The 14,074-nt window shown below is 37.5% G+C and overlaps 1 protein-coding gene and 1 long non-coding RNA gene across 12 annotated transcripts in view; both read right to left on the bottom strand.

The window, feature by feature from the left end:
- The window catches only part of ADAMTSL1 (ADAMTS like 1), a 1,004,318-nt gene that overhangs the window by 516,947 nt on the left and 473,297 nt on the right, over positions 1–14,074 (bottom strand). The gene's annotated exons all lie outside the window — the stretch shown is intronic.
- Positions 9,814–14,074, bottom strand: part of LOC107986990 (uncharacterized) — a 39,734-nt gene continuing 35,473 nt past the window's right edge. The window contains exon 3 of the long non-coding RNA XR_001746428.1: positions 9,814–13,181. This is a non-coding gene — a long non-coding RNA (uncharacterized LOC107986990). The remainder of the gene's footprint in view (positions 13,182–14,074) is intronic.

The following is a 14,074-nucleotide window of genomic DNA, read 5'->3' as shown; positions in this document are numbered from 1 at the left end:
CTTTTAGCTGGAACAAACAAAGTAACCCGAAACCTTATTTAAACTGGCTTACACATTAGGATATTTGTTTACCAACTAGTAGTCAGAGGTACAGTGGGCTGTGGAGTTGGTTTATTTCACAGCCGGATGGTATCATCCAGGACCCAGGCTTTGTTTTCTCTGCCTTCACTTTTGGCTTCCCTCCAAGCCTTGTTTCCTTCAAGGTTGTGGGATGGCTGCCAGGAATACTGGGGCATTTAACAGGAGAGAAAGGCTGCCTTTCTATGTTCTCTCTTAAAAGTAAGGCACTGCCATTTTCAGAAGTCCCTAGCAAGCTTCTCCCAACATCACTTTGACCCAAATTGCCTTAGCCCTTGCCACCTCTAACAAAACACAGCAACAGGGTAGAAGGTTACTAGGGTGAAATGGATGTTGGGAGCCAACCTCAATGACCACCACACTGTCTTCTTTAACATCCTTAGTAAGTTTGAATGATGCAACATATCAGAAGAACTATGACTCAGACATTCTCTAAGGGAGCCAATTATCCTTGTTTTCTCAGAACTGAGGGGTTTCCCAGTATGTGGAACTCTTAGTGCTAAAACTGGGTGAGTCTTGAGACAACTGGGATGGTGAGTCATTACCTTCCCCTTTAATCCCTACCAGGTCCAAGCAACCATGAACTCTCCTGAACATTTGAGGAAGTAATACATTCACAGGCAATTAAGTGGAATGCAACAGCAACAGTACTTCTTAATGCTCAAATTATAATTCTAATTTAAAAAACCCCAGCATACTGTGTATGTGTATAATCTGTGAAAATAATTATATTTTGTATAAAGGATAATAGACTGTGTAAGTTGGAGTAAAATTTAGAGGTTCCTTAATTTCCCACTTCCCACATTCATGCATCCACTAATAACCTGAGTAGTATACTCAAAGCAGAAACCCTTTCTACAAGTGGTCAATAAGCACTCTAAGAGAAAATTATGTGCCCCTTACACACAGCATTATTCCTGGAATATGACAGGTATTCAGTAATTATCATCCTGAATTTAGTAGTCAAATGCAAAGTAAAGCATCTTTTTACCTTAGGTAGCATGTGAAATAGCCATGTGTAGCCTAAGACTGGCAGAAGCAAAGACCTGATTTCTACCACAAAAGTGAGGGAGGCCCCAAAGTAGAGGTAGGTGAAGAAAAGGAAAGAAGGCTGATATTTCTCACTCTGGCTCATAATTAAGAAGATTATTATTTTTTTCTTGTATGAATTTAGAGTATCCTCTGAAGTTTACAAATGTGAAAATAAATTATTTTGCATAATTCTACAAGCTACAGGATTGGTTGATTCCATCATCCTACTATGTTTTTGAGGTTATGTTGTGTAAGGTTACTTTGTTTGAACATGTACACACAGGTAGCCTGGAAAGGATGTCCAGAATGCAGGGGCCAAAGATAGAAGTTTCAAAAATACTAAATAACAGAGATAAAGATAAGGGCTATCAGCAGGGAAAACTGTTGTCAGTAGCAGGTTTGCAGAGCACGCCAGGCCAAGTGGAGATGTAGGATGAAGTAAAGAGATGCTTATTGGAGAGCAGGCACTAAGATGCCACTGCATGCACGATAGTTTGAACTATAGAAAGCTTTTTAAACAACCTACCGCACTGTTCCTTTTTTTATCCCCATGAAGCTAGGCTAGTGAGTGCCTCTTTATTAACCACATGTACTAAAGCAACAGTGACTTTATGTGATTTAAATGTTTTCACACATATGACATTATTTTGTAATCACATCAGTACCATAAAGTAGTAGGACCCTTATTACTAATCATATTTGTAACAAATAAACTGAGATTTATAATTTAGGTGACTTGTGCCAGGTAATCTAGAAAGTAATTGATTCAGGGCCAGTCGCAGTGACTCATGCCTGTAATCCCAGCACTTTGGGAGGCCGAGGCGGGCGGATCACGAGGTCAGGAGATCGAGACCATCCTGGCTAACATGGTGAAACCCCGGTCTCTACTAAAAATACAAAAATTCGCTGGGCATGGTGGCGGGCACCTGTAGTCCCAGCTACTAGGGAGGCTGAGGCAGGAGAATGGCGTGAACCCAGGAGGCAGAGCTTGCAGTGAGCCAAGATCATGCCACTGCACTCCAGGCTGGGCTGCAGAGCGAGGCTCCATCTCAAAAAAAAAAAAAAAAAAGAAAGAAAAGAAAGAAAAAAAGTAGTTGATTCAGGACTTAAACAACAACAACAAAAAATCATCTGAGTCTTCATTGTCTTTTCTGTTGAATCACATTCCCTAATTAAAAACTCTCTTAAAAACTAAAGAAAATTGGTTTTCAGGACAAAATCTACTCCTAAACATTGATTCTGGAAGAAGCATGAAATATTCAGCATGAGAATCATTCTTGTGCCAATGAATATAATGGCCCAATAATCCCATATTTCAGTTACTGATATCTGAGGCAAGAAGATTGCTGGAGCCCAGGAGTTCAAGGCTACAGTGAGCTATTATGGCACCACTGCTCTCCAGCCTGGGTGACAGAGCAAGACCTTGTCTCTAAAAAAAAAATTGTTTTAACTACCAACTAAACTATGTAACATCCTGTCTAGTACAATGACTTTAAATCATTTCCATTATAGAATAAATAAAAGATATAATTTTATGAAATTTAGCAAACTATTATAACACGGATGTAATTCCCACTAAAAAATCTCTAGTAATTTTGATGCAATTATACTGAAAAGGCTTCTAAAACTTGAAAAGGCCAAGAAAGTAGATTTTAAAATATCACAGTTTTTATAGGAAAAAGGTATAAAAATGACCAGCGTCTAGGTATCAAAAGTGTCCCCAGTGTTTTAGGTCCAACAAAATAAATGAGATTTCCCTCCTCCAGGCACAAGGCATGGCTTTGCTGTTATTAAATAGCAATGGAGTGAATCGACAAGAGACCCCTCTCACTCATGACTGCCAAGAAGAAGGGCTCCTGTAGCTCCTTCATCTTATAGCCAAAGCAATCATTTTCATTAGATGACCCCAACATCCAGCCTATAGTTAACAACCATAAACAAATTAACACCTCCGTTTATCTCAGCATACATTATTATCCAACCATGTTTATCTTGGAGGGCTTTTTTGGACAGACTTACTTATACTAGGAAAGGTTAAAATTCTGTGGGTCCTCATTGTCAGTGTTTTGAGGTGGTGTTTTTTTTTGTTTTGTTTTGTTTTTTTGTATTTTTGTATTTATCTGTATGCTAGAATGGGTCCTGAGTTGTGTCTCGAGAAAACGTTGGTGCTGAATGCAAGTATCTTGTTTTCCTCCACTGGGAGGTGGGGAAGATTTCTCTTGAGGTGTTCTTCTTGGGAGTTTGTCAACACTCCTGAGAGGATTTTGGCCAGACCCAGCACAGCTGATGATTACAGCATGTGGCTCTGCACGCTTACTAACAGGGAAAATAGCTGCACTCCAGATGCTCACCATGGGGTAAACCTCTCTTGTTTACTGTCATGCAGTACATAAGCAAAAGCTGACCGAGAGAAATGAAGTTTGGGTTGCCTGAAAGACATTCCAACAAATTCCCTTCAGTTTAGAACTCAATATTGCAGACTGCCTTTGTTGATTTCTGATGCCACTTGTCTGCCCAGAAAACACCTGTGCATCTTAGTGCAGAAGTTACCGTGCTAGTTGTTAAGATTAGCATGCCCTACGTGTCAGTGTGTCATGATTACCTGGAGGAAAATTACCTCTTGGTTTCTGTAACAGAAATGGTTTGCTTTTCTCAAGCAATTTTTTTTTAATCTTATGGACACTACGAATCTCGTAAGTAACTCCCCTTCCTGCCCTATATTAGCTGCTAGAAAATCTAGAGCCAAATTTGTATCTCACTTCTAATAAATATATACAATCTCATGGTAGATATTTTGCTGAAATCTGGCTTAAACTAAATATTCTTATTCTAATTTTTAACCTGCCCAAATTTCATCAAATACTCATTTAGGATTTATTTGATCTCATTGCACATATTGTATTCTATTGTTTTCTTTAAAACCCTTTCTGGAACAATGCAAGCTATAGGTGAATACATAAGATGAGACTTATCACTGTAAAAAGACAATTTGTGCTTCTCTGTGGCACAAATTGTGCTTCTCTGTGGCATTTAAGCTATATATCTGTAAATATTTGGACTTAAAAACCACTAAATATAAGATTGTAATTTCAATTGTTTTTCTCTTTATGGGATTTACTTTTTATTCCAACAATAATATGATGGCCATCTGTATTTTTATTTATCAAGTACTCACCACGATTAACTCCTGTGTTCAGAAATTAATATATTGATGAAGAGAATGTGTAGCTTAATTTTTTATGTTTAGGCTTGTCATGAAGTTTTATCTCTACATATTGCATATGAACTCTCCACACTTAGGATCTATGACACAAGAGGAGCCCTAAGAATTATGGAGTTCAATTCCTAATAAGAACTACAACACAACTAGCTGCACTAAGTCTGGATGAAATGATTTCAATAATATGAATACAGGATAGCCATTCTGATTGGATAAAAGAACTGGGCGACCAGCTTCTTTACATAACTCAGGATATTTGGTACAATTCTGGAAATATACTTGATTATCAGTGCAAATTTTTTGATTGGTGACTGGAATGACATTGAGTTATGTACATTAACCAGTTTACATCTTCTAGAAGATACACAGAAAGTAGTTCTTGAAATAATTTATTGACATGGCCAATATATATATTCTTGACAAGGTCTTATATTTCAGGAATTAAGCAAAGAATCTGAAACTCTGTTCAATTTCTTAAAAAAAAAAAAGAGGTAGAAATTGGGATTATTGAAATAAAAAGAAATCTGAGATCTCTATATCATTTAAGAAAGGGTAGAAATATTCACAAATTTTAAATTTATTGAAGTCAAATATAGGTGTTAAAATTCAATGCTATTAGGACTGGTTGCAGTGGCTCACACCTGTAACTCCAGCACTTTGGGAGGCCGAGGAGGGTGGATCATGAGGTCAGGAGTTCAAGACAAGTCTAGCCAAGATGGTGAAACCCCGTCTCTACTAGAAGTACAAAAATTAGCCGGGTGAGGTGGCAGGCACCTGTAATCCCAGCTACTCAGGAGGCTAAGGCAGGATAATCGCTTGAACCTGGGAGGCGGAGGTTGCAGTGAGCCGAGAGGGCACTACTGCACTCCAGCCTGGGTGACAGAGTGAGACTCCATCTCAAAAAAAAAGAAAAAAAAATTCAGTGCTATTAAACAACAACAACAACAACAAAAAATCGAAATAGAATACTTAAATTCCAAACCAGTAGAGAGGAAAAAAGGAGATCAGAGAAAATTTAGAAAATGAAAAGTCTAGAAAGGAAGCAATTAAAACAAAAAAAAAAAGGCAGCAAAGGAAAATTCTGTTAAATATAAAGTCCAGGCCGAACATGGTGGCTCAGGCCTGTAATCCCAGCACTTTGGAAGGCAAAGGCAGGCAGAACACTTGAGGTCAGGACTTCGAAACCAGCCTGGGCAACATGGTGAGACATTGTCTCTACAGAAAATGCAAAAATTAGCCAGGCATGGTGGTATGTGCCTGTAGTTTCCGCTACTCAGGAGGCAGAGGTGGAAGAATTGCTTGAACCGAGGAGGTAAGGGCTGCAGCAGTGAGCTGTGATTGTGCCATTGCACTCCAGCCTGGAAGACAGAGTGAGACCCTGTCTCAAAAAATAAAACAAAACAAAAAAATTAAGTATAAATAGATATAAATAAATCATTAATAAGAAGTATAAAAGACTAAATTTACTTATGAAATAGAAAAAAAATAACAAAATCCAGATATCTATTTACAAAAAAATGTGTAAAATTCAGGGACATAAAAAGGTTCAAAATATAGGATTTAAAAACTAGTTGATGAATATTATCCAAAATAAAACAGGCCTAATTTTGTTAAATATCAAACAAAGAAGCATTAATAGGCATAAATAAGAACATTACGTATGAAAAAAGATATAAATTCCTCATCAGAAAGGTACAGCAATTTTGAATGTTTATGTACCTAACAATGCAGCCTCAAAATACAGAAGGCAAAATTTCCAGACCTATTAGAAGAAATTGAGAATTTTAGAGGAAAACTTCAAAAACATGTCATTCGATAGATAGATAAAACAAAAAAATTAGAACAGAGAAAATGTGAACAACTAATTCATAGCTCTGCACTCAACTTCTAGAGTGTGAATACTTTTTCAAGCCTACAGTTACAATAAATGGCCTGGTAATCTGTCTTAAAGAAAATCTAAAAAACCATTTTATAGTTAATGTTATTTGATTATAATGCAATTAAATTCAAAATCAATTAAAAAAACAAATGAAAATAAATAAACTAGAACTATGTGTGTAAATAAGGATAAATCTCAAAAACATGATTTTAAGAAAAAAGCAAGTGGTGTTATATACTAAGTGAAATAATTTTAAAAATGTAACATTAATACTATATATGATTTATAGATGCCTACAAATTTAGTAATAATTTAGAAATGCACGTGAGAATAATGAATACTACCTTTGGGATCATCATACTTTGGGTGAGGAAGGAAGGGGATGAAATATAGCAAGGCTGCATAGGAGGAAGGAAGGGGATGAAATATAGCAAGGCTGTATAGGAGGATTCCATCCCATGGTATCATTACTATATGTCTGTAAGACTGGTGAAACTTGGCAATGGGCACACAAGTTGACTATTGTGTATGACTATTTATTTACCTTATATGTTTTCTTCACATTTTATATATTTAAATATTTCACAATAAAACAGTTTGTTATATTGGTACCTATCCTCACAGGTTTTTCTTTCTATATATTATATCCTAAATATAAAATATTTAGCATATCTATAAAAATACATAAAAATGAGATCCCAATGTATATATTAATTTTTGAAAGTTATTTATTCACCTAACAATATTTCGTGAACATCCCTTACCCATCAATAAATATACTTCTACCACATCATTTATAAGACCTTTGGTATGTACTGACAAATTGCTTTCTTGGACACCTTGATTTTTGTCCATGAAAGCATAGAAAATTTGGGTAACTATGAAATTTAGAGCTTTAAAGAAAGGAAGATGACGATTAAAGAATATAGTCTTTAATATTCAGCTCATTGTGCTTTCTCAAAAATAAGTGAGAAAGATTGCTGAGAAGAAATCCAAAACAGCAAAGAAATTCTTTGGAGTCAGTCTAAAGGATCCGAAAATGTTAAACAGGGAAACATAAAAAGACACACGATGACTACATGCAGAATACAATATAAATCAAATTAAAATGTCACAAAGTGAAGAAGCTGGATCAGATTATTAGGTAAGCATATAAGGAATAAAAGCAAATTTGGATAAAGGTACACAAAATTACAGAATGAGCCCAGGTAAACCTTCTGTCAAGTAGAAAAATCAAAAGGGAAAAGAGAGCCCCCTTATTAAATAAAGAAATTCTCAAAATTCTCAGAAAGGAGAGAAACATTTTAAAATTTTGCATGAAGAAGTCTGATAGCAAATTTGTGGGGAACACAGAAGTAATTCTGAACCCAAGTATTCCAGTGTCTTTAATGTGATATAGTCCCTAATTACACTGGCTCCAGTAATTACCTCACCACTAACCATCATGGTTGAGAAATCATGCAGAGCTAAAAAGCTGAACCATATCAAATCGAAGGTTCAACACTCAGCAATTTGTCGTTTTGTTGCCCTTTATTTTGAAATGGTAAACCAGTGATCATTTTCCATGAACCAACAGTATATTTTCAAGTTCGTTTAAAATAACATTCTTCAGCACTCTTTATCAAGCAACTCTTAGACAGTGAGTCCTAAAAGAACACTAGTCCTGCAACAAAGAGGGAGGGAGTTAGAGCTAAAATAATATTTTGTTGATTTAAAAAAACAGTTAAGCACAGATATGATGAATTAATGGTTTTCGGATGCTTGTTTTATTATGCATTCTTTGACTTCGCTGGCATTTATATGCTGCCATAAAATTATTACTATCATCTGAGCTTGGAATAGAGAAGGTGCAAGTGGGGAGAAACCTACTTGAGAAACAAGAATGAGTAACCGACATTCTCACATCATTTACAACAAATCCTGCCACCCACTGCCTATAACTCCTTTCCTGCACCATGTGTTGCTAGTTTGGGACTATAAATGTGACAAGCATGAAGTGAAATGTCAGCCAAATACTACTGGAGTGGGGAAAACCACAATTCATCATGTATCAAGGATTTAAGAATTAATTTTTTGCTTTTTAAAAAGAAGGGTGAAATTTTAAAGGTGGATAACCGTTCTTTTCATAGCTGAAGTTAAAACTGAATATTCATTTTACAGCTAACATTACTAAAAGCTTTTGGAACTCTTGTATGGAAAAGGTATTGCAAAAGGAAGGGCTAGGTAGCTTGAATTCTTTATTATTACCTGTCTTCAAATTAAATGTAAATAAACAGCATTTTTTGTTTAAAAATTCTTTATGACTAACGTACTGTTTGAAATAATCTCAAGGAGCAAGGTGAAAGTAAGAGAAATCTTTTAGAACCATATCAAAGTAAATTCCTCATTGTTTTCAGTGGAGACACTTCATTCATTTAACCATAGAATGAGTAACACCACCCCTACCCTCAAAGGATGTCTGGCAATTGGCAACACTAGATCTTGGAGGATAATGTGGGAATCTGGGTGGATCATAAAGCCAGACACCCAGGGAATAGTCCAAGAAATGCAGGCAAAGGGTCAATTCTGAGGAAAGATTTAGGTGGGAAAGTTGGTGGATCAGATTTTCTATGTTGGGTAAAAGAGAAAAATAGCCCAGACTCTCCACAATAGCATCATTTAAATGCCTCTGCCCATCCAAATTTTGCTTGTAATGTGACCCCATTTGACTGTGTGCTCTGGGAGGGAAGGAAGCACAGTATTTATGTCTGCATCCCCAGGGAGTTGGCACTATAGGAGGAGTTCAGTGAATGTGTATTACTGAGTGGACACAAAATATTGGAAGATAAAGTCCCAAAGTGTAGATTTAGAAGCTGTACACAGAGGCAGTTCTCTGCAAGATGTTTACAAGGCATGTTGGAAGAGAATGGGAGAAATAAGAGAGACAAGGAAAGAGTAAGGTGATCTAGGAGACATGGAAGTACAATCAGGAGAGCTCATTAAGCACAACAACATCAGTGGGAGGAGAACATTTCCGCATTAAGGTGCTCTGTAGTGACGAGTGGAGGAGGAATGTCAAGGAAAGGGAGCACTGGTAAAAGGAATCCTATTGGGTTTGACCCAGAGGACATCAGAGATCCAACCACAATTCAGCAGATGGCAAGATTGCCTATGAAGTTACAGGAGGCAAAGGAATGAGACATACACATCCCGGTGGGGCAGGTACCCCATTCCTGATGCCTATGAGGGTGTTTTTGGATTCAACACTCTTCAAATAAGACTTCTTAGGGAGCTGTGAAAGAGAGAGATGAGGGCATTGAAGGAGGAAGGACCTAACATTTGCTAAGTATCATCAACATGATCAGGTACTGATATGGTTTGGCTCTGTGTCCCTACCGAAATCTCATGTTGAATTGTAATTCCCAATGTTGGGGGAGGGACCTGGTGAGAGGTGATTGAATCACGGGGCAGATTTCCCTCTTGCTGTTCTTGTGATCATGAGTTCTCATGAGATATGGCGGTTTAAAAGTGTGTGGCACTTCCCCCTTCACTCGCTGTCTCTCCTGTTTTGCCATGTGAGGATAGTGCCTGCTTCCCCTTTGCCCTCCAACATGACTGTAATTTTCCTAAGGCCTCCCCAGCTACACTTCCTGTACAGCATATGTAACTGTGAGTCAATTAAACATCTTTTCTTCTTGAATTACCCAGCATCAGGTCTTTATAGCCCTGGTCTCAAGTATGTCTTTATAGCAGTGTGAGAACAGACTAATACAGGTACTAAGCATTTGGTAATGTAAAGCCTCAAAATATGGTCCACAAAGCAATGAGCAGCAGTATCACCATTACCTGGCAGCCTGTTACAAATGCAGAATCTGGGGCCTATTCTAGACCTACTGAATCAGAATCTGCATTAACCAGACCCCAGGTGATTCATATGTACAGTAAAGTTTCAGGAGCACTGTTGTCAATTTTCATAAAAAGGTATTCAAAAGTAGAGGAATGTAACATTTTTCCTCCATACCTGAGCTTGGCCTCGTCACAGGCCCTCAAGTTCTAACTGGCTGGAAGAAAAACTACTTTTCATTTGTAGCCTCAAGGTAGGACAGTGTCTTTCAGTTTAAAATAGTCTTGCTGTGGCAAAGATCTGATTAATTCAGGATCTAACCTTAGTCCAAGGGGACAGTCAACCAGGATGCTTCCATCATCTGAGAAGCCTCACATCTGTTATTCATTGCTCAGTAACAAACAACCCTGAAACACAGTGGCTTAAAGTAATTATCACTTTAAAAAATTTTCTGATGATTCTGGGGGTCAGCTGGGCAGTTCTGGTCTGAGTTGGCTTGGCTGATCTCTGTGGGTAGCTGATGACCCCATGATCAGAGAACTATTTCTCTGTCCTAGGCCTACCTTTTGCAAATGAAAGGCCTTAAACACGTACTCAAATGCCTTAAACATATACTCAAAGGAAAAAAGTCTTTAACCCGGGGTGACAGTGTCCTCTCCTTACCACTTTCTCCACAGCCAAAAGCAGTGTCTACAGAAAACTCCCTGAAGAGTCAGGGAAAGACAATAGCTACAAGAAAGTATAGAAGACTTTGCGACATTTGTAATTTAAGTTACCTTATTTAATAACTCCCTTCCCTCACAAAACCCCACAGTCCTATAATATAGAATTAATAGATTAGGAAAGTTAATCTTAGTGCATTTCAGAAACTCTCAAAGGGATGGTATGTACATGGTTGGGCCAGAAATGGATCCTAGTCTAGCTGTCCCCTTCTACCTCATTTAAAGAAATGTCTAAGGAGAGAACACAGGGTTTACTTCACATTTATTCAGATGTTCTATTGTTTGATGTTCTGTTTCAGTGCGATCTTACTGCAGTTTTCACGTGTTCCCTCTGTATATTTGTCATCCTTCAATTTGGCATCTGAAAATCATTTGGAAGTCTGTACAGAGGACCAGACTCGCAGAGCTGTGTTATAATGAGCATTGTTCATCATAACTTAGAACTCTGTTAGTGGAGATCTCTTTTCAGTAGGTGTTCAGTTGGGCTGAGGGGTAATTGCAAGAAAACCACAAGAAGTACACTGTGATGTCGTTCATAATGCAGTCTCACACATATTCAGGGTACATCCTGAAGCCCTGGTCTCCTTCCTGCCATTAACATACCTCTAAACAGGCTCTGGATTTTATGGCTCCTTTGTTTCTCTGGAGATACTGATATTTCTTTCTTTGCTGTACTCGAAGACTCCATGTGCCAGTAGAGGTTCTCCAAAACAAACATTCCTCACACTCTTCCCACCCTAAAGCAGTTCTCGCCATTAAAAAAAGAAAAACGTAATCTTACCACAGTTGAAAGGAAAAGTGGCTATATTTAGACATGCATTTTGGAGTTATCTCTCCTGCCAGGATTCTGGAAAAATTAAAATTTCCAAGCAAATCTAAATGAGAAGGTCACATGTGATAAGACTGTGAGATGTGGCAATATGCTTGGCAACTAGTAATATAACCATTCCTAGAGTTCACTACAGAAAGACGTAGTCTTCACTGACATCCTAAAGACTTAACAGATCTCTGAACTTGAGCCACCCTTTTGTATTTGCCAGCCTAGAAAACACACACATAATCACGGTAAGTGGTTTTAAAAGCCACTCATTTTCCAAGGCACTTTGCAAGGAAGAGCATGCTACCTGCCCCCGGTCAAAATTCTCTAGCAGCAAGTCAATCTACACAATCATTGCATGAGTCTGCTTTATCATTCTCTTGTACCAGCAGCTACAGGAGAAGCAGAAGCAATCAGGAAGAAGCCAAGATGTAGTACAGGAAAAATATTTCATTGACCTGTCTAGAAACAGTATTTTACATGCTAGGGAAGGGAAAAAGAAAACATCGAAAACCACTACACTTTAAATTAAAGGTGCAAACATTGATGTTTTTCTTTCATCCCTTGGCTGTCTTTAAAATCATCCTTACTGATGACGGTGAGATAGTTCACCAGGAGCATGTGAAGGGAATCAAAGTCTAATCCCCCCTCTCCTGCTCCAAATGGGTTCTCGGTGATACATAGTTTTAAAAATTGGCTCATTTTTCTTTCCCTGCTTCTTTACAGAGCCAGTAACATCATGGCCCTTCATCAAGTGTAAATTCCACATTTCTACACGCATTTCATTAAAGGAACCGTCTCCTTCTCTGTGAAAAAGAAGAAAATTCTTTCTTCTCCAAGTGAAGGCTTCTGTTCTATTAACCCAATCTCAACCAGCAATGTGGGATTATGTCACAGCATGTAGTGAAGGAGTCAATGTCCCAGACACAGGTGAGGCCCTATTCTAAAATAGGCATAATGCCTTGGGCAAGAACCTTAACTTTTCTAAGCCATAGCTTTATCATTTATAAAATAGGACTAATATTTGTCCCAAAAGTTTCTCAAAAAACTAAAGATAAAATATCCAAACAGTACCTGGGACAAAGTAGGTATTCAATAAATGGTAGACATGATTGATATTACTATTATACTGTAAGAAAGCCAAACACAAAGACCTACTGATTTTTGACAGCAAGAAGAAAATCAAACTTTAAACATGAGGGAAAAGATGAATGGAAAACCCAGATAATTAATGTAGTGATTAGCCTAAAGGGAAAGTCCAATGTAAGCATCATTATTTAAACCAAACATACAAACATTATCATTTCACCCCAAAGCATTTCCACCCATTCAAGTGCATTTCATTTTCATGATTTCAGCCAGAATAAGAACTCAACAGTCTAGAGAAGACCGCATAAATACTCAAATATTCTAGCACACCTTCTGGGACAGAGGAGATGAACTAGCAGGAGACACACGCTACCCACAGGGGTTTTCCATCAAGACCAATCGGGATGTCTGTAGCTCCTTCAGCATAAAGGGTTCTCTTTGGTGGGAAGGATCAATTCCTCTCCCTGCGTTTTGTAACAGCTCATGCTGCATTTGTTTGGGGCATGCGTTCACCTGATGGACTGTAGTAAATGAGGAAAATAGAATGGACAGAAACGGAGGTGAACTCAGCCTTAATGAGAAAAACATGAAAACACAAAATTCTTTTTTTAAATGAAGTTCTAATATATAAAATGTGAACCCTCCAGATTGACCAAGTCATGTGAAAGCTTATTCATGAAAATGTGCACTTTCTTCCCTCCCAGATTTTTCATTAAACTGCTCTTTGCCTCATGTGTAAATGGCAACTTTTTATGTTCTTTTCCCAGATGGGATGACCAGAAGAGTAAAGCCAATGAGTAAAAAATTATTTATAACTGAAAAATGACTATGAGGGTTATTGGTGGGGGAAGGGAGGGAAGAAACATCAAACTCAAATTTGCTGTATAGTATCTATGTAAAATATACCTATTCCTTAATTTTTATTCCCTTATTTCCTTAATATGTTTTATTTCTACCTTTATTTCATATCTTCCGTTCATTCTGCTTCTTCCCCATTTATTATGCCTCTCTTTTTGTTTCACAAATTGTGCATTCATTCTAAATCTTCCAGTTTCTCATTGAGCCAATTTCTTCTAATTTTTTAATCTTTTGTAATCCTTCTTCCCCCATACTCTAATTTCTAGAGTCTTACAGTGACAATATAACATTCAAATTAAAAGAAAAGCTTAGGGAATGCATAAGTGGAGGAAAGGCTGTTAAAATAAACAGTGAGAAATCTTAAAACAGTTAAAATAGATGAAGAAATAAGAACATAGAGGGGAAAGGAGACAGCAAGGATAAAGAAAGAATGAGGAAAATGGGAAAGTAGGCAAATAGTCAACAATTTCTTATTTTAACAGCCCCTGGCTACTCCCAAAATTCAGTGATCCCATTCCGTATGTGCTTTATTTCTTTATGCCCGTGGAATGGGAAA

Source organism: Homo sapiens, chromosome 9 (genome assembly GCF_000001405.40).
Source record: "Homo sapiens chromosome 9, GRCh38.p14 Primary Assembly".
In the NCBI taxonomy this organism is placed as follows: domain Eukaryota; kingdom Metazoa; phylum Chordata; class Mammalia; order Primates; family Hominidae; genus Homo; species Homo sapiens.
Note: the sequence above shows the minus strand (reverse complement) of the source record. Positions and strands in the feature narration are given on the sequence as shown.